Genomic DNA, 24,214 nt, shown 5'->3' with positions numbered 1-24,214 from the left:
AAAAAAAGATATAATAGGATGATTTTATTTCATGTACCTATTTCCAAATACTGATAGTTTGTGGGCTTATAATTTTTAGTAGTCACATACACATTATTCTATTTTGCTGTTTGCTTTGCCAGATCGCAACAGGATCTTGTTTATATGTGCACATTTACACATAATATATACGAACATGTTTGTTTATATTTACTTACCTATGTATTTTTTATATATTGCTATGAATAGACTGGCATAAGCTATATAGTCTTCCATTGGAGCTGTTTCATTATTTTATCCAAAATCACTAGATCAAAGGCTGCAGGTTATTTTAAAGATGGTGTTTCATATGGTCAGAATAGTAGGTTCTCTGGAAAGTTAAAACTGAAATGCACCAATTTTTCAGCATTTCATGCCTAATTTCATTAGTTGAAAATGTTTGTAACAGATTAAATTGGGGCTCATTTGCATAACTAATCTGATGTATTTCTCCCTATGTAAAGAGCATGCTTTGTACCTGTGCTAAGAATTATAGTTATATCATTTCTTCATTTTAAAATATAAGCATTTCTATCACTCATTTTCCCCTTTCTGGTGATCTCCTCTTAGGGTTTTACCAGAGTTCATTATGCAAAATTTCCACTGTTAAAAATCTGACCACACCATATTCTATTTCTTTTAATAATTATAAATGTAATTTCCTTTCCATTACTTTATACATTTTAAATTTATTTTCCCATGCAGTTCATATTTTATAGATGTCTTCTTCTTTTCAAAACAAAAGCATAAGGCAGTTTGCTAAACTTAATGCAGTCCATTAAATGTATTTTCTTTCCAATATCATTGCACATAAAACTCAAGCAGTTTCTGACTAAGTTAGTTACAAAGACCAGCAACATCTCTGCCTGGGTTAGATGCAGGGCAGGGAGAATAGAGGAAACTAACAAACTAACTTTTTTTTTTTTTTTTTTTTGGTGACAGTTTCACTCTTGTCACCCAGGCTGGAATGCAATGGCAAGATCTCAGCTCACCGCAAACTCCGCCTCCCGGATTCAAGCAATTCTCCTGCCTCAGCCTCCCAAGTGGCTGGAATTACAGGCATATGCCATCACCCCCAGCTAATTTTTTTATTTTTAGTAGAGATGGGGTTTCTCCATGTTGGTCAGGCTGCTCTTGAACTCCCGACCTCAGGTGATCCACCTGCCTCGGCCTCCCAAAGTGATGGGATTACAAGCGTGAGCCACCGCGCCCAGCCTAACCAACTAACCTTTATTGAGCGCCTGCTCTACGCTAATTGACTTACAAATATTATTTCAATTATTCTTAATACACCAGCAGGGTAGGTGTTGCTGTTACCTTTAAAAAAAAAAAAAAGAAAAAGAAGAAGAAAAAAAAATAGGTTCAGAGATAGTTTAGTGACTCAGTCAAGTCACAGACCTCTTTACACTGCTGGTAATAAGTCCTGGAGGCAAAGGATCAACTCCCTGGTTTCTCAGACTCCCACCAATGTCCTTTCCATTACACCATTCAATCTTTCAAGAGATTTCACGTTATTCCCAGGTCCTTTTGCCCAGATCTCAACTGGTGTGAAACCATCAGGCTCTCTAAATGACTCTAGTGCAGAATTGCAATTAAATGGAAAAATCATTTATTTGTAACTCCATGCCCCCTATTCTCTTCTGCCTGCTAATTCCTGAGTATTGTGAATTAATACTGCTCTTGAGATACCCTCAAGGCTGTTATATATTGGTGGATAATGCCAAGTCTGACTGTGCACAAAAAGCACAGCTAACATAAAAGAATGAATGTGACCTGCACCCTTCAAATGAACTTGCCACTTCAGAGTCTTCCAGACTTGAATTTTTGTGTCTTGATCCACAGGCAAATAGGAGAGACAATGTAGGTGATCTAATTCTTCCCAGGGTTAGGAGCAGTTTGAGAGATGAGGGGTTATATTTGAGATGTGCTGAGTTTGAGAGGTAGGATACCACATGGAGAGAGCCAACCTCGTTTTGAATTCAGGTGTGGACAGCCTCCAGATTCTGGCCTGAACTGCCACTGCTTGTCCTTGATTCTACAACTGAGAAAATTATTTCTTATAGCAGAGCCACCTATTTATCAACAATTTTTAGTTAAGACCATGAGATATTAGACAAACAGACACTCTGCTGGGGGGATGGGGAGCATCTCTGTTTGGGTCACCCTACCTTGACTGCCCATCTAGGCAGCACTGTCAGTGCAGGATAACCCCTTAAGTTACAAGCCTGAGCCCTCGTCATGAAGTTGTCACTATTAACTCCTACAACTTCCCACCCCAGCAACGAAAGCACTAATGGGGATGCTTTTAGAAATGCAGCATGTTCTATAATCCTGGGCTTGAAAAGAAAAAGGGTATGGTTAATAAATATACTCTTGTCACTCATTAAATCTGAATACAAGATTCTTTATAAATCATAATAGATTCCATAGCCCTTTTTAAAATAGACAAATTGCACCTGGAAGCTCATATTCTTTATGTAGAGAGCCACATAATTAGATTATCAACTACGCAAAGGTCTGCTGAGGGAGCTGCCCCTGACTCTGCACATCAAAACACGCACCAAAATTCTTTCATGTTTTATCTAAAGAGGAACAGGGTACAGACTCTAAGAATTTAGTACCCTTCATGCCAGTGAAATAATGTTGACATTAATCCAAGTAACTTGGAAGTGAAATGAAATTCCTCTAGGATTGTAGACTAGCTTCATATTTTCCTTCACGTTTTCCTGTTTTACAAAACCAGCAGTGGTACTATATGCAAAAATGGCATTATGGCTTCTCTGTACAGGTTAAAAAATAAAGCAAATAACTAACTCATTTTTTAGATTTAAAAAATGCTGCAAACAACTCATAAGCCCAGAATGCATCACAGGGCTAGGTTAGGCCTAAAGGCCAAATCACAGGCTGTTCCAGAAGCAGCTCATGGGCCAACATTGTCTCTGGCTCTATTCTGGTAAAGCATTCCTGGCCCTAACTCTGAGTCCAGCTTGCCTGGGGTGTCTGTGTAATGAATTCTTATCACAGAATACACATCTGAAGTCACTTGAATGACTTGAAGTGACAAATTTATGGAGTAAAAGGAAAACAAGGAGAGCCCACAAAGGTGCATAGGCCCCAAAAGAAACCCATAAACCTGGAGCACAGAGCTCAAGGCCAATATTGCACATGACAGACAACCAAACACCAAAATAGCCAAATAATTATGAAGAATCCTTCAGGAGTGATGTGGGGACTGGAGAGAATCCCACAGGCAGCTCCACACTGGAGACCACCATCCAGCCTTCCCTAAACATTCCACAAATGCTGAGAAACTACTGGGGCTAGGCACTGTCTGGAGAGAGTACCTGCCACATCAGGATGGGAGATAGGACGAGAATGCTGGCGACCACCTAGCCCACTCATTTTCCAACTGTCTTTGGCCACAGATTCCTCTGTTTAAAGAAAATCTCATTTACAGTAGGAACAGGAAAACCAGATAAAACAGCTGACACTTACGTATTCATTTCTTATTGCTGTAGTAACAAATTGCCACAAATGCAGTGGCTTACAACAACGCTAACTTATTATCTAACAGTTTTTGGAGGTCAGAAGTCTAAAATGGGGGAAGTCTCATGGGGCTAAAATCAAGGTGTCAGCAGGACTGTCTCACTCTGTCACCTAGACTAGCGTGCAGTGGCACTATCATAGCTCCCTGCAGCCTTGAACTCCTGGGCTCATGAGAAACTCCCACCTCAACCTCTTGAGTAGCTGGGACTACAGGCATGAAACCACCACCACCACGCCTATCGCCTATTTTTTTATTTTTTGTAGAGATGGGGTCTCACTACATTGCCCAGGCTGGTATTGAACTCCTAGGGTCAAGTGATCCCCCTGCCTTGGCCCTCCAAAGTGCTGGGATTACAGGTGTGAGACACAGTGCCCAGCCTGACCTTTGTTTCTGTCATCACATCTCTTCTCTCTTTTAAGGACCACTGTGATTACAATGGGCCCTACGATAATCCAAGATAACCTCCTCCCCCCGCCCCCCGCCTCCGGCCAATAATCTCAGGGTCTTTAATCACATCTGAAAGTCCCTTTTGCCATGTAAAATAACATATTCACAGGTTCCAGGGATGATTAGGACAGGACATCACTGGAGGGCCACCATTCTGGCTACCACACCTTATAACATCAGGTACTCTACTAATCACTTTACGTTTGTAGATTCGGTTAACTATCACTACAACAGAAGAGGACACAGACACAGGTTACCCAACTTGCCCAAGGTCATACAACCAGGAAGTAGTGGAACCCAGAGATGTGTTGAGAGCAGACTGAAGGTGGACAAGGGCGGCAGCAGGGTGACAAGTTAGGAGGCTCCTGTCCTGATCCAGGTGAGAGATGAGGAGGGTCCTTTAAGGATTTTCTGGTAACTATGCCAACACCTAGTGAGACTCAGAAGTCTCAACCTAATGACTGTGGACTCTAGGGGCAAACAAATCTTTTAAGCTTCTTGGCTTCGACGCCAAGAAAGCCTGGTTTAATGGGTGCTATGGTAATTAGTAGGGTGGTGGTTCCTCTGTATTATGGGTTGAACTGTGTTCTCCCCAAATTTATATACTGAAATCCAAACCCCCAGAACCTGAGAATGTGTCCTTATTTGGAACTAGGGTCTTTACAGAAGTAATCAGTTAAAATGAGGTCATTAAGAATGGGCCCTGCTCCAATATGACTTGTGTTCTTATAAAAAGAAGAAATTAGGACACAAGAGAAACAATATACAGATGAGAACACTATTTCAAAGCATTGTTTTTAAAGATCATGGAAGTTACGCTCAATGACAAAACACAGCATTATTCAAACATTTTGGTAGCAAATATAGTAACTTGGCAAATAAAGTGGTTTCCCAAATATGCTAAGAAAGGGAATACCAAAAGAAAAACACTCCCACATGTGGGAGTAATGTCAAGACAAGTTACCTTGTTAACCACAGAATACACTTAGGGCCCAAAGCAAATATTAGTAGGGATTTAGCTGTCAGGTGTTCATCTCGCTTAACAAATGAGTTTGTTCACTCCTCTGCCATTGGAGTAACAACATTCACGGCACAAATGAGAAACTTAGTTCCCAATCAAAGCCAACAGTTACTGTATAACTCCCTCATTTCTCTCAAATTCTTTAATATTTATTTTCCTTCAAATAAATTTAAAGCTTGGAAAAAAAAAAAAAGATGCATCCTAGCAAAGGGCTAAAACATCCTCTTTTGTGATCCAAGACAAGCCACGATGATAAGAACTAAATGAACCACAAGAAACGACCAACGACTTGTTGGGCATCTATCACTTGCTCAGCACAGCCCATGGTGCTGTACGAATACAAAGAGGGTGAGGCTGCTGCCCTAAGGAGTCCATGCCCTAGATCTGAGAGAAATCACCAGCCCGTGTTGCATAGGAACGGAGGGGTCCAGATTTGCAAATTTCACAGGAGTGCAATAGAAGACATATTCCAAAAAAAAGAAGAAAATAAATTACTGCTATCAGGAAAACACAGCATGGAATATGGAGACTTGAAGATAGTACTAAAAAGTGAGTTAAATTTATATCACTTTAAATTGCAGAAGAGGTATTAAGGCAATAAGAACAAAATGAGAGTAATCCTTTCGATGGGAAAGGAAAGGACTACATATGCTATATAGCTGCTGTTAAGTTAGGACCTTTTGAATGCAAAGCCTTAAATAATGAGAATACAATTACGAAGAGACCAGGAAAACATGTGAGCAACTTGCTTTGAGAAAAAACTCACAGTACAGCTATGTCTGAGATCTTCTCCCTGGGCCTCTGCCATTAACCTAACTTGGCTTCTCTCTGTGTGTTTAGTTTTCTCTGTCGCGTGCAATTGTCACATCTTCTCTTCTACTTCTATTAATTCTTGCTGTCAGACTCTGGGTTTGCTGCCATGTCACTGCCTGGCAGGCCTGTCCTCATGCCATTAGTTCATGGCATTCTTTCAATTTCGGCTCCCACGGCTTTTTCCTTCTGATTTCCTAAATTAAAATTCTCAAGAGAATCAAATTGGCTTGGCTCATGTTTTTCCCACGGAAGGCCATGACAGAGGTAGCTATCTGGTGTCCCATCCCAATCAAATCAGCCACCCCAGGAAAAGGAGAAGAGGGAGGACACAGTCCTCAGAGAGCTTTCTCCCCAGCAGGGGCTGTGGGCAGAGCAGTGTCCTTCACAGGAGCTGTGAAGTAGCTAGCAGAGGCCATGAGTGACAACTCGGGTATAGGCCAGTGAGTATAAAAACATCCCTTAAAGGCCAAAATTATGTTTGAAGACTTTACTACATTAACACATACAATTCTTTTATTTAAAAAAAAAAAAGGCTCCTAAAGGCAGAAACCAATCCATGTAAAAAATTGCAACAGGCAGTACCTGAGTCCATGAGATGGGCCACTGAAACATAAGGAACTGTGTTCAACATAAAGAAATTTGAACACTCATTATTAACTGGAAAATTGTTTCACACCAGTGCTTCCAAGCAGGTTAAGTATGTGCAATAACCATCTAATATTTATTTAACACTCCCTTTGTGCCAGTCGCTGCTCCAAGTGAGTACTCTGCATGTACTAGTGCATTTAATGCTCACTATAACAAATTACATGGACATTTTCACACTGTATTTTAGAGACAAGCATAAGAAGGGGCACAGAAGTCAGATCACATTAAATGGTAAAGCCAGGCTTTGGGTCCTGGGTTCAGTTCTCAGTCTAAACCATCAAAATATGCTGCCTCGGTGTGGGGAACAAACACTGCTCAGACCACAGTTGGGCCACAAAGCCCTTTCTTTACAATGTCCTTGTAAAATGTATGTGAATAATCAAAATATCTTGACTATGTTGAAATATTAGAAGAGAAGAAAGAAGCAGAGGTGGGGAAAAGGCTTTATGGGCAGCTCCTGGGGAAGGAACAGTTCCCAGGAAGACTGGAAGGAAACGGAGAGCTACACTGAGGAACACAAAGCCAACAGGAGGAAAGAAGGAAGGAAAGGAAATCTGGAAATGTGGCTGTTAGAAAATGAATGTGCTGGCTGGGTAGTGAGGTCTGTGAAGTATTCCTCACAAGCAAGGTCAAGCTAGACCCCAGAATCAACATCATCCACAGCACCCTAGAGCATACTGACACGGGCCTGGACCTCCTGAAAACTAGCTGTGTTCAAAGAGGGAGAAGGTGTTACATAAATATGTAACCAAGTACCCCATTTTTCAAAGAGATGTTTTCTTTTTTTCATTCCCCACTTCCTACGCAGCCTTTTAGAAATGCTAAAAAATAGCTTTTTACTCCCTCCTTCACCAGCCATTCCCTACTAAGTTCATCCAAGTCCTCGAGAGTTAGTCAATTTACAGACCAAGGCATGCCTGCTATGCAACTCTCACCCATCAGGAGGTTGCCTCGAGAGAACAGTCGAAAAACATTCCCACTACTCTCTCCCACCTGAGGGGTTTAGGGCCTAGTCACACCCATGAAGACCCCAGCAGTCACCAGCTCAGCCGCCTCGTTGATAAGGCACCAAGCTAACACAGGTATCCCCCACCTTGCTTACACCCTCCCTTGACTTTTAAAAGTGCCCACTTTCTGCTCCAAAAGCTAAGGGGTACATTTGGAGGTGGGACACCTGTGCTTCTTCCTCTAAGCTAGCTTTGGAAATAAATCACCATCTTTATATCGGAGCTCACTCTTGTTAATTGCACTCTGCAAGTGGCTAGCGACCAATCTGCAAGCAGGTTACAGATAAGACACAAATGTCAACTTGTAAAACATCAATGAAAGCAGGAGAAAAGTATGCAGTTGCACATAAAACAGCTGTTTAGAAGGTAAGCTCCCCCCTCAAAAGAAAACCTTAACCAGTGTTTTGTTTTTTGTTTTTTTTTTTTAAAAAAAGCCATTGCATATTTGTCAGTATTTTTCAAATATTCTTCACTGAGCATAAACTGCTTTTAAGTAAAACAAAAAGAATGGATGGTACCCAATTATCAGGACAGTCAGGGCTGCAGGATAATGTGGCCATGCTTACAAGTCAAGATTGTCATCCCTGGGCTGTTACTTGAGGATCTACACAAATCACATGCCTCAGGTAGACCAAACTCCCTAGGGAGCAGTGAACCCCAATATACACAGTGGGTTCACACATGTTCTACACTTATTTCAGAAGCCAATGTGTTAAAAGAATGGCCAGTATTCCAACGAGGAGCTACTAGAAGACAAAGAGAATTCTCACAAGAGGACACTGGGGGCCTGGGGCCCGCACTTACCAGTCTGACTTGGGTGGGACTGAGGGTTGCAGCTAGGACATGGTGAAGCCAGGAATAAAAGAAGTCCCTTATTAACAGAAGCTGTTGAACTTAGTAGCAGAACACTGAAAATGAAGAGGAAGCCAGGCTTGATCTAAGGGCCACAGGAAAAAGAGGATTAAGGCGAGGAGCTAGGAAGCAAAGAAAGAGTTAGACTTGAGAAAGTCAAGTATGGAGAGCCTCCAGGGGAGCTAAACTTGTCCCCGAAGGGAAACTCTGAGGTCAGGGATATTTCTATTCATTTTGTTCACTGCCATAACCACAGGATCTAGAACAAAATGAGGCACAGAGTAGATGCTCAATTAGTATTTGTTGAGTTAATGAAGTGACAGACCCTGTCATGATGGCTTTAGGAAGATTCCCCAGATAGATCTTGCAAGAACCCAACCCTGTGGGCTCTGTTCTAAAAGATGGGACAGTCACTGAGGGCCCTCTATCTGGACTACTGCCCTCACCATACCCTAAGGCACTACAGAGAGGTCTTTGATGTGGAGGCAAATCACTGTATGTGCATTTAGGTTCTCCACAAATAGGTTTACAGTTGTGTTACTTCAGGCCCAACACATTCTCCAGCTGAGCCTGAATCTCTCAGACTGGCAACTCTGCACCACCACTTCCAGAATTTGTATTAAAGATGAGATGTAAACGTTCAGATGGTTAATATAAAAGTTTGTTAAATACTCAGAAGCCACAGGTTCATGTAAGACATCTTCAACCCAATTTCTGATGCAGAAGTTAGAAGACTGGTTGCACCTTTTAATTCATCTCTACCAAGTTTCAGAGCTAAGGGCCAATGATAATAATGGGGATAATGTTAACTGTGAACAATGAATGCAATTCACAAAATAAATAGAAATCACTAGTAAACACCAAAAAATGTTTCCAACTTCACTAGTAATAAAAGAATGCAAGTTTTAAATAACAGTTTTTGCCAGATGGCCAACTATGTTTCGAACAATGAAACAGTATTTGCAGGAGCAAGGGTAAATGATCTCTCGCCTGTAATGGTAGGGAAGAAAAAAGGGAGAATCTTGTGCCCACCACTCAATATCACTCCTTTCTTCTTCCCGCTCAAAAAGGGTGAATGTAAATAAGCTGCTATAAGAAATTGAAAATCTCTATAAAGAGATACTATATGTGACATACTTATAGAGAAAATACTAAATAATAGAATGACAGTTGTTAATAGCAGTAGTCTCAACCTTAAAATTTAGCATATATTAAAAACAAAGTAAAGTTAGGTATCTTTTGGAAAAGCGTTATCCTAAATCTCCTTGGCGTATAGCAGGGGTCCCCAAGCCCTGGGTCCCAGATCAGCAGGGGCATTAGATTCTCAGAGGAGCGTGACCCTATTGTGAACTATGCATACGTGAGGGATCTACGTTGCACACTCCTTATGAGAATCTAATGATAAATGTCATGCACTTGAGTCATCCCAAAACCATCCCCCAACCCAATCCATGGAAAAACTGTCTTCCATGGAACCAGTCCCTGGTGCCGAAAAGGTTGGGGACCGCTGGTGTACAGTATAGTGCAATGATTGAGAATGTGGGTCTGAAGTCAGAGTGGGGCTCACAAACCCGTGTCACCAGTGACCAGCTGTGTGACTCTGGGCAGGTGACAATGCTTCTGAGCTTTAGTTTCTTCATCAACAACCTAGAACCAATATTGGAGTTTACATGTTGAATTGCAGTGAAGGAAAATAATGAATCAAATATTACTAAGTTATCCTGTCTGGATGACAAAGATTGGTGGAACCATTAAAAAGAAAAAGGGAAGTCAAGAGAGGAAGCTAATTTAAGATCAAGAAAAAAAATGCATGTTAGCTATTTCAGAATGCAGCAGATTAACTACACAAATTCCACAAACGGCTGCAGATAGAGGTCAGGGCCAGAAATTTTGACTGTCGATTATTTGAAGAAAGGTGATTAAAATTAAATAAGGAATGGTGTTTTGTTTTTTATAGAGACGAGGTCTTGCTATGTTGCCCAGGCTGGAGTGCTGTGGCTATTCACAGGCATGATGCTATACTGATCAGCACAGGAGTTTTGACCTGCTCCATTTCTGACCTGGGCCAGTTGGCTCCTCCTCAGGCTCCCAAGAGGTCACCATACTGATGCCAAACTTAGTGCAGACACCTGATTAACATCGCACACTACACTACAGCCAGGAACTCCTGGGCTCAAGAGATCCTCCTGCCTTGGCCTCCTGGGAAGCTGGGACAACAGGTGCCACCAGGGCAGCTGGCAAGAATAGTTTTTAAAAGGAAAAAGTAGAGGAAATCTAGAGTTGAAAATAGAGAATTAAACTAAGAAGGAGACACAAATGGAGAGCAGAACAGAAGGGAGGGGGCAGAGGGAGAAAAGGCAGCTAAAATGAGGTCCTAGAAGAGTGCAGAACCAGAGGGGGCCCAGAGTTGAGAATGCTCCAAAATGCCAAATGTTTTTAGGTTGTCATTTTTGGCAAGAAATCATTCTATGACAAATCATGCTTGATTCCTGCCTTTCCCTTAACCCCCTACACATTCACTCTACATGCAAACATCCCACGGATCTGCTCACTTCTCTATCTCCACTGTGAACACATTACTCTGCTCCCACTCTTTCCTCCAACCCAACTCCCACACAGCAGCAAAACTTAACTTAAAATATGAATTGGATCTCCTTACTCCCCTGCTTAAAACCTTCAGTATCATTCTGTTGTATTCAGGATAAAATCCAATTCCTTCCTAGAGCCTGAAAGACCCTGCATGATCTGACCTCTGCTCACTCTGCAGCCTCATCAACCCCTAAGCTAACCTAACTCCAGCTTCAACAGCCTCCCTTCTGTTCCTGGAAAAAAAAAAAAATGCCAAAGTTTTTTCCTTCCTTGCAGTCTTTGTACATGCTCTGCCTTCCTCCTAGAATGCACTTCTCTCACCTTCTCCAAAACCCACATACAACCTGCATAAGAAACCCCCTGCCAGCTCTCAGTGGGCTCACCTCCGACAGCCTTTGTAACTGGGGTCCCACAGTTGTTAGTTGTATATAAAGTAGATGCACACAGTGGCAGGATGTGTGATCCATACTTTCTAACTTCAACTAGCTTTGATTCTAAATCGGTAGATTACTGAAAAGACCACAAAAAGACATGTAAGAAATAATTATTCATTGAACAAAGATCCACATGCCTATAAAGCACATTTTCCCGTTACCTTTTTATTACTGATACTCTGGATTTAACTTCATCATTGATTCTCTCTTCCCCTATACACCCATACAACCAAAGGAGGACGAGGACCTTCATGAACTTTTTCTGGACCATTAATACAATTCAGGCTCCAGTTCAAAGGACACTAGGCAGGAGACTGCTAGCATCCTCTAGTCACCAAGTGATATGGGGTTCATTACTCTATTTGTTCAACTTTTTTCAAAATTGATTTTGTGTGCTTTTTTCTTATTTGATTACAATTATGTCTCTGGTATAAAATGCCATTGATATACAGTCTTTATTTGCTCTATTACAAGTTTGATATATAATAATTTGGTTTCAAATATTTTCCTCTTTATGGCCTTTTTTTGGATTATGCTTTTGAACTCTCTATTTTTAGGTAGTCAAATGTTTTTCCATTATTTTGAAGAAGGCAATTCCTTCTGTCACTTACACACTTAAAATACACCGACCTCTTTACGTTCCTGACCATTTCAGAAAAATTCTCTTTAATTTTCTAATTTTCCTACATTTAAAAAAAAAATAATTCTGGAATATAAGTTCTTCTGTTCCTTTTTCTTCTTGTATCACCTTTTGAACAATAGTTTCATGTCATACTTTTTATTACCTAATACAATCACCTATATTTTTTCTTTTTTAGAGCTTTAATTATCATTTCAAAATTCTTAACAATAGTAAGCATCTACTGTTATGCAGGATATTTCATATAAAAATCATTCCTAATCCTTAGAAATCCTACAAGGTAGATCTTATGTCTCCATTTCATGAATTGGGGGGTGGGAACAGACCTCAAGGGAAGCAAAATATGTCACACAGTAAAACCAGAATCAAAGCCAGGTCTCTCCAATTCCTAACTCATGACCTTGCCATTTTCAAAGTTTCATTCTCAAACTGTTCAGCAGAATTACCTGCCCCCACACTAAATGGCACTGGGCTGTTAGGTTTAATTTGACATATGAATTAGGCGTAGCATCCTTTCACCGGGTTTCACGCTTACTAGAGACTTGGAAAACCAATGGATCTACTTCTTAGAACTGGGTGGCAGGGGCAGTTTCGTGGCACCTACAGGCAATGCTATTCAAAATGTTGGCCCCTTTAGCTGGGCAGGATGGCATACACTTGTGGTCCCAGCTACTCAGGAGGCTGAGGCAGGAGGATCACTTAAGGCCAAGAATTCAAGGTTGTAGTGAGCTATGATGGCATCCCCACACTCCAGCCTGGGCAACAGAATGACATCTTGTCTCAAAAAAGATAATATGCTGGCGCCTGAAGGGTTTGTCACAGGGTACCTGCCAGACAAGGAATCTGTATAGAATGTAAATTAACCAAGTCACTAAGCACCTTTGTTTAGTTTAACTAACATTTTCCCACAGCAATACTTTCTTGATGAAAGCAGCAAACTCCTTATCATAAGCAACAGTCTTCAGACAGGCATTGATCTATAAGCAGCAACTCCATCCCCCGCCCCCCCAAAAACAGAAAAAAAGCCCCTGATTACTTAATCTGGTACTATATAATGCCAGATTATATTAATAATGAATTATATATTATACAATATTCATATATAATAATATATGTTATCTGATTACTATAATCTGGCATTACTATAATCTGGTATTGAAACACTTTTGGACAAACTAACACAAAAGTCTAAATGAGACTAACATTATGAAAAGTGAGATAATAGATATATGTAACTATAATGTCTGGAGAGCCGATTTAGACAAATTTAGAGTAAATTTGATCCGACCTGGAAAGCCGCCTGGACTCTGGACACTGAGGTGGTAAGATGGGTGGGGAGAGCTCTCAGCATTGCAAATCTGCCCTGCCTGGATTCAGTCACTCAGCTCCGTCAGTATGTGTGCATGGTAGTTCTTGTGAGTTAAATAAATATAAACAAAAGGCTTAAAGTATGGATTTTATAAATAAAAATTTTATTATAATAAAGGGCTCATTGGGTGGAAAATATTGTATAAGTACAAACATGGGCTTCTTTTTAGCCTTCAGGGTTGGAGAGTAAATAATCTTAAATTTGAGACAGTTTGGGATTATTAGCCCTTTGTGTTAGCATAAAGTTTCATAGGCGTGTTATCCACACTGTATGCAATATTACATGAGTAAGATAGTTAATTTACCTTTTTTATATCTTTTTAAAGAGACAGGGTCTTGCTCTGTTGCCCACGATGCAGTGGTGTGATCATAGCTCACTGTTGCCGTAAACTCTGATCTCAAGTGATCCTCCTACCTCAGCCTCCCAAAGTGCTGGAATTATAGGTGTGAGCCACTATGCCTGGCCTAATTTAAATTATAAATTATTATTTTGCTTTGGTTTTCTAAGAACTAGTTTTTTAAAAAATGAAGAGAAGGGATATGACGAATCAATATTGTTAAAATGGCCATATTGCCCAAAGCAATTTACAGATTCAATGTTCTTCCTATCAAACTACCATTGACATTCTTCATAGAATTAGAAAAACTATTCTAAAATCCACATGGAACCAAAAAAGAGCCTGAATAGCCAAAGCAATTCTAAGCAAAAGGAATAAAGCTGGAGGTATCACATTTCCTGACTTCAAATTGTACAACATGGCTACAGTAACCGAAACAGCATGGTACTGGTACAAAGACACACAGACAAATGGAACAGAATAGAGAGCCCAGAAATAAAGCCTCACACCTACAACCATCTGATCTCTGGCAAAGTCAACAAAAACAAACAATGGGGAAAGGACTCCCTATTCAGTAAACAGTGCTGGAACAACTGGCTAGCCATAGGCAGAAGACTGAAACTAGACCCCCTTCCTAACTCCATATACAAAAATTAACTCAAGATGAATTAAAGACTTCAATGTAAAACCTGACACTGTAAAAACTCTTGAAGAAAACCTAGGAAATACCATTCTGGATAGAGGACCTAGCCAAGATTTCATGATGAAGATGCCAAAAGCAACTGCAACAGAAACAAAAATTGACAAATGGGACCTAATTAAACAAAAGAGCCTCTGCACAGCAAAAAGAAACTATCAACAGAGTAAACAGACAACCCACAGAATAGGAGAAAATATTTCCAAACTATGCATCTGACAAAGGTCTAATATCCAGAACCTATAAGGAGCTTAAATTAACAAGCAAAAAACAACCTCATTAAAAAGTGGGCAAAGGACAAGAACTTTTCAAAAGACGACATACATGTGGCCAACAATCATATAAAAAAAAGCTCAGCACCACTCATAATTAGAAAAATGCAAATCAAAACTACAATGAGATACCATCTCACATCAGTCACAATGGCTACCAAAAAGTCAAAAAATAACAAATGCTGGCAAGGCTGTGGAGAAAAGGGAACACTTATACACTGCTAATGGAAATATAAACTAGTTCAACCAGTCTGGAGATTTCTCAACTTAAAACAGAACTACCATTTGACCCAGCAATCCCATTATTGGGTATATACCCAGAGAGGAATAGAAATCATTCTACCATAAAGACACACATACATTTATGTTCATCGCAGCACTATTCACAATAGCAAAGATAGGGAATCAACCTAGATGTCCACCAACAGTAGACTGGATAAAGAAAATGTGGTACATATACACCATGGAATAATATATGGCCATAAAAAAAAGAACACCATCATGTCCTTTGCAGCAACATGGATGGAGCTGCAGGCCATTATCCTAAGCAAATGCAGGAACATAAAACCAAATATAGCATGCTCTCAGTTATATGTGGAAGCTAAACACTGACTACACATGGACACAAAGAAGGGAACAACAGACCTGGGGGGCTACTTGAGGGTGGAGGGTAGGAGGAGGGTGAGGATCAAAAACAAACTACCTATTGGGTACCATGCTTATTACCTGGATGACAAAATAATCTGTACACCAAACCCCCGTGACACACAGTTTACCTATATAACAAACCTGCACATGTACCCCTGAACCTGAAAGAAAAAAAAAAAAAAAACTAAAAATACAACTACCATATGATCCAGCATTCCCACTATCGAATATTTATCCAAGGCAAAGAAAATCAGCATATCAAAGGGAAACCTGCACACCTCATGTTTACTACAGCAGTAGTCACAACAGCCAAAACATAGAATTAACTTAAGTGTCCATCAATGGATGAATGGATAAAGAAAACATGGTCTATAGATAGATATAATGGAATACTATTCAGCCACAGAAAAGAATAAAATGCTGTAATTTACAGCAACATGGATGGAACTGGAGGTCATTATATTAAGTAAAACAAGCCACACACAGAAAGACAAGTATCACATGTTCTCACTCAAATGTGTGGGCCAATAAAGTTGACCTCATGGAGGTAGAGAGAAGAATGGTGGTTACCAGAGGTAGGGAAGCATGGGAGAGGGGCAATAAAGAGGTTGGCTAATGGGTACAAACAGAGTTAGACAGAAGGAATAACTTCTAGTGTTTGACAGTACAGAAGGCTGACTATAATTAAAAATATTTCAAAATAACAAGAAAAGATATGAAATGTTCCCAAAGCACATGATAAATGTTTGAGGCAATAGATATCCCAATTACCCTGATTTGATCATTACACATTGTATGCATGTATCAAAATATCACATGTATCCCATAAACATGTACAGTTATGTATCAATAAAAAAAGAAAAATAAATAGGCTGGATGCAGTGGCTCATGCCTGTAATCCCAGCACTTTGGGAGGCCAAGGCGGGTGAATCACTTGAGGCCAGGAGTTCGAGACCAGCCTGGCCAACACGGTGAAACCCCATCTCTACTAAAATTACAAAAATCAGCTTGGCATTGTGGTGCACACCTGTAATCCCAGTTACTTGAGAGGCTGAGGCATGAGCATCGCTTGAACCCAGGAGGCAGAGGTTGCAGTGTACCAAGATCACACCACTGCCCTCCAGCCTGGGCAACAGAGCAAGGCTCCATCTCAAAAAAAAAAAGCAATAAACAAAACTAAGGGAAAAAAAGTGGAGAGAGGTTGATAAATAGAATTTACAGACCCCAAACCCTTACATGTCACAGTCCGCACTTCCACACAGCAAAGGAGTTCTCCAAAACTTTGGGGGCACCATGTTTCATTTGGAGGACCACATTTTGAAGGGATACCGGCAAAACAGAACATGCAGAAAACAGCAGGATAAGGAGTCTTCAAGATTGATGAGAAACAACTTTGAGAAGGTAAAGTCACAACATCTGTTCTGAATTTTGACAGATATTAACAAGAACAATTATTAGATTCACCCTGCATGGTCCTAGAGACCCAACAAAAAACCAGTGTAAGTAGAAGTTACAGGGAGGCAGAGCTGGTTTCCTGCGAAGCAGAGCTGGCCACCTGCAATACAACAGGCTGCTTCATTACAAGTAACTACGAGACACAAATACCACTATTTATATTGTAGAGACACTCTGCTGAGGACAGAGAGGCTACAAACATGGTCCAAAGGGGGCCCTGCCCAATGCTAACAGTCTTTGAGTCTGAGCCAGTAAACAGTCAGTACATTGCTGGCATTAATACTACCTACCACCTTACCTTTAGGATCATAGCTCAGCTATATTATGCTTTAGAGAAAACAAGTTTGCAAAATCAACCATCATCACACTATCACTTTTTTAAGAAGCTTCACCCTAACTTCTGAACATCTCATTTTAGCCTATGGATCACCTATGTTGGAGTTTTACTATGAGTGATGGGAAAAGTTCTCCAAAACCCAGTATGTTTAATTCCATTCTTCAATACAGGTCAGATATATTTTTCAGCAAGACTATTAAGTAGGGAACAGGAAGGAAAAACAAAAGTAGAAGCAAAAGGAATAAGTCCATATGGAAAGAAGAAAAACAGAGTCAGTCCATCCTCATACGCCCCACTCCTCCGACCTGTCAGTCATCATTACTCAAGCATCATTACTCAAGCGACATTAAACAGGGCCAGTGTTTAGTCCTATTTACTCTGCCTAGTTCTTGCTGTGCCTCAGGGAGAGAAATCAATGCCTCCCATCCCAGACATCCAAAGAGTTTTGGGATGAGTTCAACTCCGGCTCCATTTTCTGTAAAATCCCTGGGGACTTCAAAAAACATTACAAACAACTTAACAGTTAACTTCTGGGTTTCTCCATTTCTCCATCTCTGCAGCAGAGGAAAAAAAGCTTCATGGAGAACTATTTTGAGAGGTATCTGATGTCTGTGGAGTAAACAGCGATGACCTGATGAAAAGTCCCACATAATGCTAAGCTATGAGATTAATTCGCTTGGGTGGTGCCACCAACCTTCATTATATTCTTTACTCTCTTTGAAGTATAATACAAATGGTGATGATAACCAGTGAGAGAACTTTCTTTTGCAAGAAACATTTTATAAGGCCATTCAAATGTTTTATAGTAAAAAACAGACGGTATGTTATTTTACACTTTACAAAAAATGATGAATACTAAAATTGGAACAAACACAGCATGTTATTCACTCTTAATATAATTGAACACTGGATTCTTTTCCTGTATTCTGAGAGGTTTTCCACTTGATATATAAATTATTTTGTGTGTTAACATTATAAAGCCCAGAGCATTACAGCACAGCAATGGTTCTCTTCTCTTTTCTTATAGAGAAGTCTTCAACTTAGTTTGCTACAAAGAAACAAATAGTGGATTCATTAAGAGGAGTCTAACTCTAGTCTGTGTTCTGTAATTAACGACCAATAGAGCCCCAGGACCAGTCATTTAACCTAACTGGTTCTCATGTTTCCTTACCTCCATAAGACCCCTGAGAGATATGTTTTACTGAACGTAGAAAAATAAATGCTAAATTTTGCTGACATTTTTCATTGCTTTTTAAAATTCCAACATCTAAGAATGAATAAGGCTGGGCACGGTGGCTCACGCCTGTTATCTCAGCACTTTCAAATGCAGAGGTGGGCAGATCACTTGAGGCCAGGAGTTCAAGACCAGCCTGGCCAACATGGCGAAACGCTGTCTCTACTAAATATACAAAAATTAGCCAGGCATGGTGTCAGGCACCTGTAGTCCCAGCTACTTGGGAGGCACAAGAATCACTTAATCCCACGAGGCGTGGGTTGCAGTGAGACAAGATTGTGCCACTGCACTCCAGCCTGGGTGACAGAGTAAGACGCTGTGTCAAAAAAGAAAAAGGAAAAAAATAATGAATGACAAGGCACAAGACAGCATAGAAAACTATGTCTCTCTGCTCCTCCCTACTAAGCGCTATAAACCCTGGAAATAGCAGAGGAGATAACCAAAGGAGAACTCTGAAAGATGGTAAGAAGAAAACAAACCAGTTTGTGACCCCAAAAATGGAAGAACAGCTCAGTGAAACAGTATCTTGCATCCCCCTATGCAAAGTGGTCACCCAGACCCACCATTTCCCAACCCATGACATGAGAACAAAAGGCAGCTCAGGTAGGCTCATTCCTATGACCCAGATCAAACACGAGTCCCCCTCACATCAGATAAGTCCTACACCATCCAAAAGAAGGACCAACCTAAAGCCCCACCAACAATAACTAGGGGAGCCTCGACATATGCAATAGGGCAGACACAAGACTCCCCAGCCACAAGTGACCTGGCCCAGGAAGCCTCTCTGGTCACATGGGCCTAAGACGCCCTTCCATTGCACACAGACATGAGGAAAACCGTGGGGCACAGGTAGAGAGATTCCATCTCAACAAGTGTCTGGCTCAAGAGCTCTCTGTCCCCCACAGGAAGGGGGACTATGCCACAGTCAGGAAAGTCCCTCAGTCTCCAGGGTCCTGAGACTACGTTTCCCCCACTGGGAGACACCTAGTAGCCCAGCCTAGGGAAATCCCTTCTGCCTCCACAGCCAGCAATAACAGCAGGGGGAAATGAGACGGCAGCCCTAGCGGCATCTAACCACCAAGCAGACAAACACCACAAAGGCTCTGAAAGTTAAACTGTCATTGGAACCACAGCCCACAAATGTAGGGCAGGACCTGTGTGCTAAGACTAACTGGGTGGCTGCCTGCTAAAACAAAAGATTTAAATGGGATTCAGAACATTCCCACTGCCCGCACCCCCCCAAAAAAAAGATAGGCAAAATGTCCAGAATACAGTCAAAAATCACCCACCATACCAAGAACCAGGAAAATCCCAAGTCAAATTCCCATTTTAGCCAAAAAACTGACCCTAACCCTGAGATAAATCAGATGTTGAAATTATCTGATGAGGATTTTAAAGCAACCCTCTTACAAGTGCTTCAATAATCAATTATAAATTCTGTTGAAACAAATGAGAAACTAGAAAATCTCAGAAGTGAAATTATTTTAAAAACCAAATATAAATTATACAACTGAAAAGTACAGTAACAAAAACTCACTTGATATGCTCAATAGTAGGATGAAAATGACAGGATAAAAAAAATCACTGAACTTGAGGAAAGACAACAGAATTCACTCTATCAGAACAATAGAAAACAGGCTGTGAAAATAAGCAGAGCCTCAGAGACCTGTGGAACAGCAAAACATCCAGCCTTGTATCATTGAGCCCCAAGAGGAAAAAGAGAATAGGGCTAAAAGAATATTCAAAGAAATAATGGCTGAAAACATTCCAAATTTGGTAAAAGACATAAACAGATTTAAGAAGCTGAGCAAATTTATGATCAGAATAAACAAAGAGAGGCCATCCCAGCATTAGGAAGGCCAAAGCAGGCAGATCACTTGAGGTCAGGAGTTTGTGACCAGCCTGGCAAACATGGCAAAACCCCATCCCGTCTCTACTAAAAATACAAAAATTAGCCAGGCATACTGATGCATGCCTGTAGTCCCAGCTACTCAGGAGACTGAGGCAGGAGAATCGCTTGAACCCGGGAGGCAGAGGTTGCAGTGAGCCGACATCACACCAATGCATTCCAGCCTGGGTGACAGAGTGAGACTCCATCTCGAAGAGAAAAAAAAAAGGACAAAAAGAAATTCAGGCCAAGGCTAGGATCAATGGTAAACATCAATAACTAGTCTTCTGAAAACTAAAGACAAAGAAAAAAATCTGCTTGAAAGCAGGCTGTGAGAAATGATACATGATCTGTAAGGAACACCAATTCGAACAATGGATTTCCCATCTGAAACCATGGAGACTAAAGGAAGTAGCACATTTTTCAAGCGTGGGGGGGTAAAAAGTCTATATATATATATATATATATATATATATATATATAGAGAGAGAGAGAGAGAGAGAGAGAGAGAGAGAGAGAGAGAGAGAGAGAGAGAGAGAGTGTCTCAAACTCCTGACCTCACGTAATGCACCACCTTGGCCTCCCAAAGTGCTGGGATTACAGGCGTGAGCCACTGCACCCAGCCAAGGCTAATCTTTTGTATTTTTAGTAGAGACGGGGTTTCATCATGTTGGCCAGGCTGGTCACAAACTCCTGGACTCAAGTGATCCACCCACCTAGGCTGCCCAAAGTCATCATGTTGGCCAGGCTGGTCACAAACTCCTGGACTCAAGTGATCCACCCACCTAGGCTGCCCAAAGTGCAGGGATTATAGGCATGAGCCACCACACCTGGCCAAAATTATATTTTTTAACACAGAAGATTCAAAATTGTCTATAAGATGACCTCTAACTTCAGAGTTTATAATCTAAGGAGGGATGAAACATATAAAACAAAAATACAAATAATAATAGCAGGTGTTGTATAAGTAACACAGCCAGAGACAACGAAGATGGTTCAGAGGCAGGTACCGATATTTTGGGCTGCCATGATCAGAGAAAATTTCAAAGAAGGTCACAACAAACGGTCCACACACTACATTTAAATAAAGCTACTGAAAGAATGTATCCCTTACGAAAAAAAAAAAAGTAAAAGCAAAACTGAAGAGATGTAAAAGCAAAAAGTATGTTTACAGGAGAGTACAGGGAGGAACTATTCATCTGCCACTTAAGAAACACCTGAACAGGGGACAAAGAAGCATCAGTCACAATTCTTGGTCCTCGATCTAATCAGAAATGCAGAGGAAAATGTAAGAGACAGATGAAATGGGGAAACAGGACAAAGAGGAGAGGGATGGGATGAGATGGCATGGGATGGGTTGGGGTGGGATGAGCTAGATGAGATGGGATGCCACTAAAAAAGATTGACTGTACAGACCCTCAGGGAACATAGCAGAGGGCACAATTAACTCTTTCTGGGAAAGGCAGAGAAGGTTTCGCAGGGTTAAGACTGGATCTCAAAACATCAGACCGAAGTGACAAATAAAAAATGGGGAGGGGGCCGGGCGTGTTGGCTGGCCAGGCGCAACGGCTCATGCTTGTAATCCCAGCACTCTGGGAGGCTGAGGCGGGCAGATCACGAGGTCAAGAGATCGAGATCATCCTGGCCAACATGGTGAAACCCCGTCTCTACTAAAAATACAAAATTTAGCTGGGTGTGGTGGTGCGCACCTGTAGTCCCAGCTACTCCAGAGGCTGAGGCAGGAGAATCACTTGAACCTGGGAGGCGGAGGCTGCAGTGAGCAGAAATAGTGCCACTGCACTCCAGCCTACTTCATCTCCAAAAAAACAAAAACAAAACAAAACAAAACAAAGTGGGGAGGGTACGTTGGACCATGAGAAAAACAAACAACTCCAGACATGCACACAGTAAAATGGTGGCAGTGGAAGGGTGAGGAACATAGAAGGCATGCTGGGGTCAGTGTAAAGACCTGGCTAAGAGGTTGGATCTTCATCTGGAGGGTAATAAGGAGTCATGGAAGAATTTTAAACACAGAAGTGATACCAAAAGAAAAAAAAAATTGAATAACTTTGAGGACATTGAATAGAATTAAATGAAAGGAAAAGGCCACTAGAGGAGAGAAAACCAGTTACAGGCTATTCAGTTCCTTTTGATTTAACAACTTTGAACCCCATGATATGCCATGCTCCAGGCCGGATGCTTCAAACACAAAGATTATTTCCATCACTGTCCTTCCAAACCAAGGAGACAGCAATGTAAGCAGAGAGAAGGGAAGAGAAAGAGGAAAACTACATCCTACAATCATTTCAGAGCTAAAATCAACAAGCCTCCGTGGAAGGGCTCTATGGCATGAGGGAAAAGACAAGAACGAGGTTTTTACATTAGAAATCATAGAATGTTATAACTATGGCCAGTACTAGCATTCCAGAAATAAGGAACAGGCCGGGCGCAGTGGCTCACGCCTGTAATCCCAGCACTTTAAGAGGCCAAGGCGGGTGGATCACAAGGTCAGGAGATTGAGACCATCCTGGTTAACACGGTGAAACCCCGTCTCTACTAAAAATACAAAAAATTAGCCGGGCATGGTGGCAGGCGCCTGTGATCCCAGCTACTCGGGAGGCTGAGGCAGGAGAATCGCTTGAACCTGGGAGGCGGAGCTTGCAGTTAAGCCGAGATGACACCACTGCATTCCAGCCATGGGCGACAGAGTGAGACTCCTTCTCAAGAAAAGAAAAATAAAAAAAAAGAAATAAGGAAAAAAAGAGATGAACCAGTATTTGGGTACCAGACTGAGGAGGAATTATGTACCTCCTCTAAGAGGAAGCTCCGTTGTTGTCTCTTCCAGGAGGGCCCTCCTCCCAACCTCCCAGGTGTCTCCTTCCACTACGCTTTTAAAAAAAATGCTCACAGATATATAAATATATTTTACCACAATGGGTAAGTACACGTGTGTTTGTCTCTCCCACTAGATTATATATTCCCCAAGGGCAAGGATTAATTATATTCATCTTTCTATCCCTATTGCATGGGACCCAGCAAGGTTTCAACAAATGTTCAATGAATGGAGAAAATAGAAGAAACTTAATATTTTTACAAAACTATTATAAACTTATTTTCTATCACATTACTAAATAATTCCTCCTCTACTACAAGAAGGGGGGGAAATTATAAACAAATAGCTCTAGGTCTTCTATTTCTGTTTGAGAAGTCTAAAAATTAATCATGTTCCCAAAAGCAAAAAAACATAATATTGTAAAGGTCAATCAAAAGGAAGCTGGGCATGATGGCTCATGTCTGTAATCCCAGCACTTTGAGAGGCCGAGGTGGGCGGATCACGAGGTCAGGAGTTTGAGACCAGCTTGTCCAATATGGTGAAACCCCATCTTTACTAAAAATACAAAAATTAGCTGGAGGTGGTGGTACACACTTATAATCCCAGCTATTCGGGAGGCTGAGGCAGGAGAATAGCTTGAATCTGGGAGGCAGAAGTTACAGTGAGCCAAGATCACGCCACAGCACTCCAGCCTGGGCAACAGAGTGAGACTGTCTCCAAAAAAAAAAAAATTAAATTAAATTAAAAAAATAAAAAATAAATAAAAATCTGAGGCTCCAGCAGCTCCTCATCCAGTCACCTCACATTTACTGAGCACCTACTACGTACCAAGCACCACGTGAATACTACACAGCTCCTACCTTCAAAGAGCTCACACTCCAGAAGTTGCGTTTGTAAACTGCTGCACCGGAGAATGTTTCGTAAAAATATATCTCCTCTGAAGGACCCACAGAGACCCTGTAAGACTCATTAGCAGGCCAAAGAGCAGAGCTAACCCTCAAGGAAAAAATATAATTTTTGACTGCAGCAGAACCAAGATCTCCTTACAGGAAGTTTTGTAGGAAAAAGGGAGAGGAGGTATAAAAAGACAAACGTAGGATAAAAGGTAAAAAAGTAAACACACTAGTA

General features: G+C 41.1%; 1 protein-coding gene and 1 pseudogene across 4 annotated transcripts in view, besides 1 other annotated feature; both read right to left on the bottom strand.

Moving 5' to 3' along the window:
* The window catches only part of ARHGAP10 (Rho GTPase activating protein 10), a 340,689-nt gene that overhangs the window by 253,259 nt on the left and 63,216 nt on the right, over positions 1-24,214 (bottom strand). The window contains exon 1 of one of the 4 annotated variants that reach the window (XM_047416160.1): positions 11,326-11,448. The exons of the other annotated variants lie outside the window; for them this stretch is intronic. The gene's annotated coding sequence lies outside the window, so the exon portion shown is untranslated. Of the gene's footprint in view, positions 1-11,325; positions 11,449-24,214 lie in introns of those variants that run through there. 4 annotated transcript variants of the gene reach the window in all.
* RN7SL254P (RNA, 7SL, cytoplasmic 254, pseudogene) lies at positions 10,309-10,592 on the bottom strand (annotated as a pseudogene).
* Positions 19,050-19,349: an enhancer, noted in NCBI's record as "active region_22010". NCBI's record gives its function as "activates an Ori minimal core promoter by ATAC-STARR-seq in GM12878 lymphoblastoid cells {active_cell/tissue: GM12878}" and the evidence as "EXISTENCE:reporter gene assay evidence [ECO:0000049][PMID:35858748]".

Source organism: Homo sapiens, chromosome 4, assembly GCF_000001405.40.
Source record: "Homo sapiens chromosome 4, GRCh38.p14 Primary Assembly".
NCBI classification, from domain to species: domain Eukaryota; kingdom Metazoa; phylum Chordata; class Mammalia; order Primates; family Hominidae; genus Homo; species Homo sapiens.
This window is presented reverse-complemented; position numbering and strand designations above follow the sequence as displayed.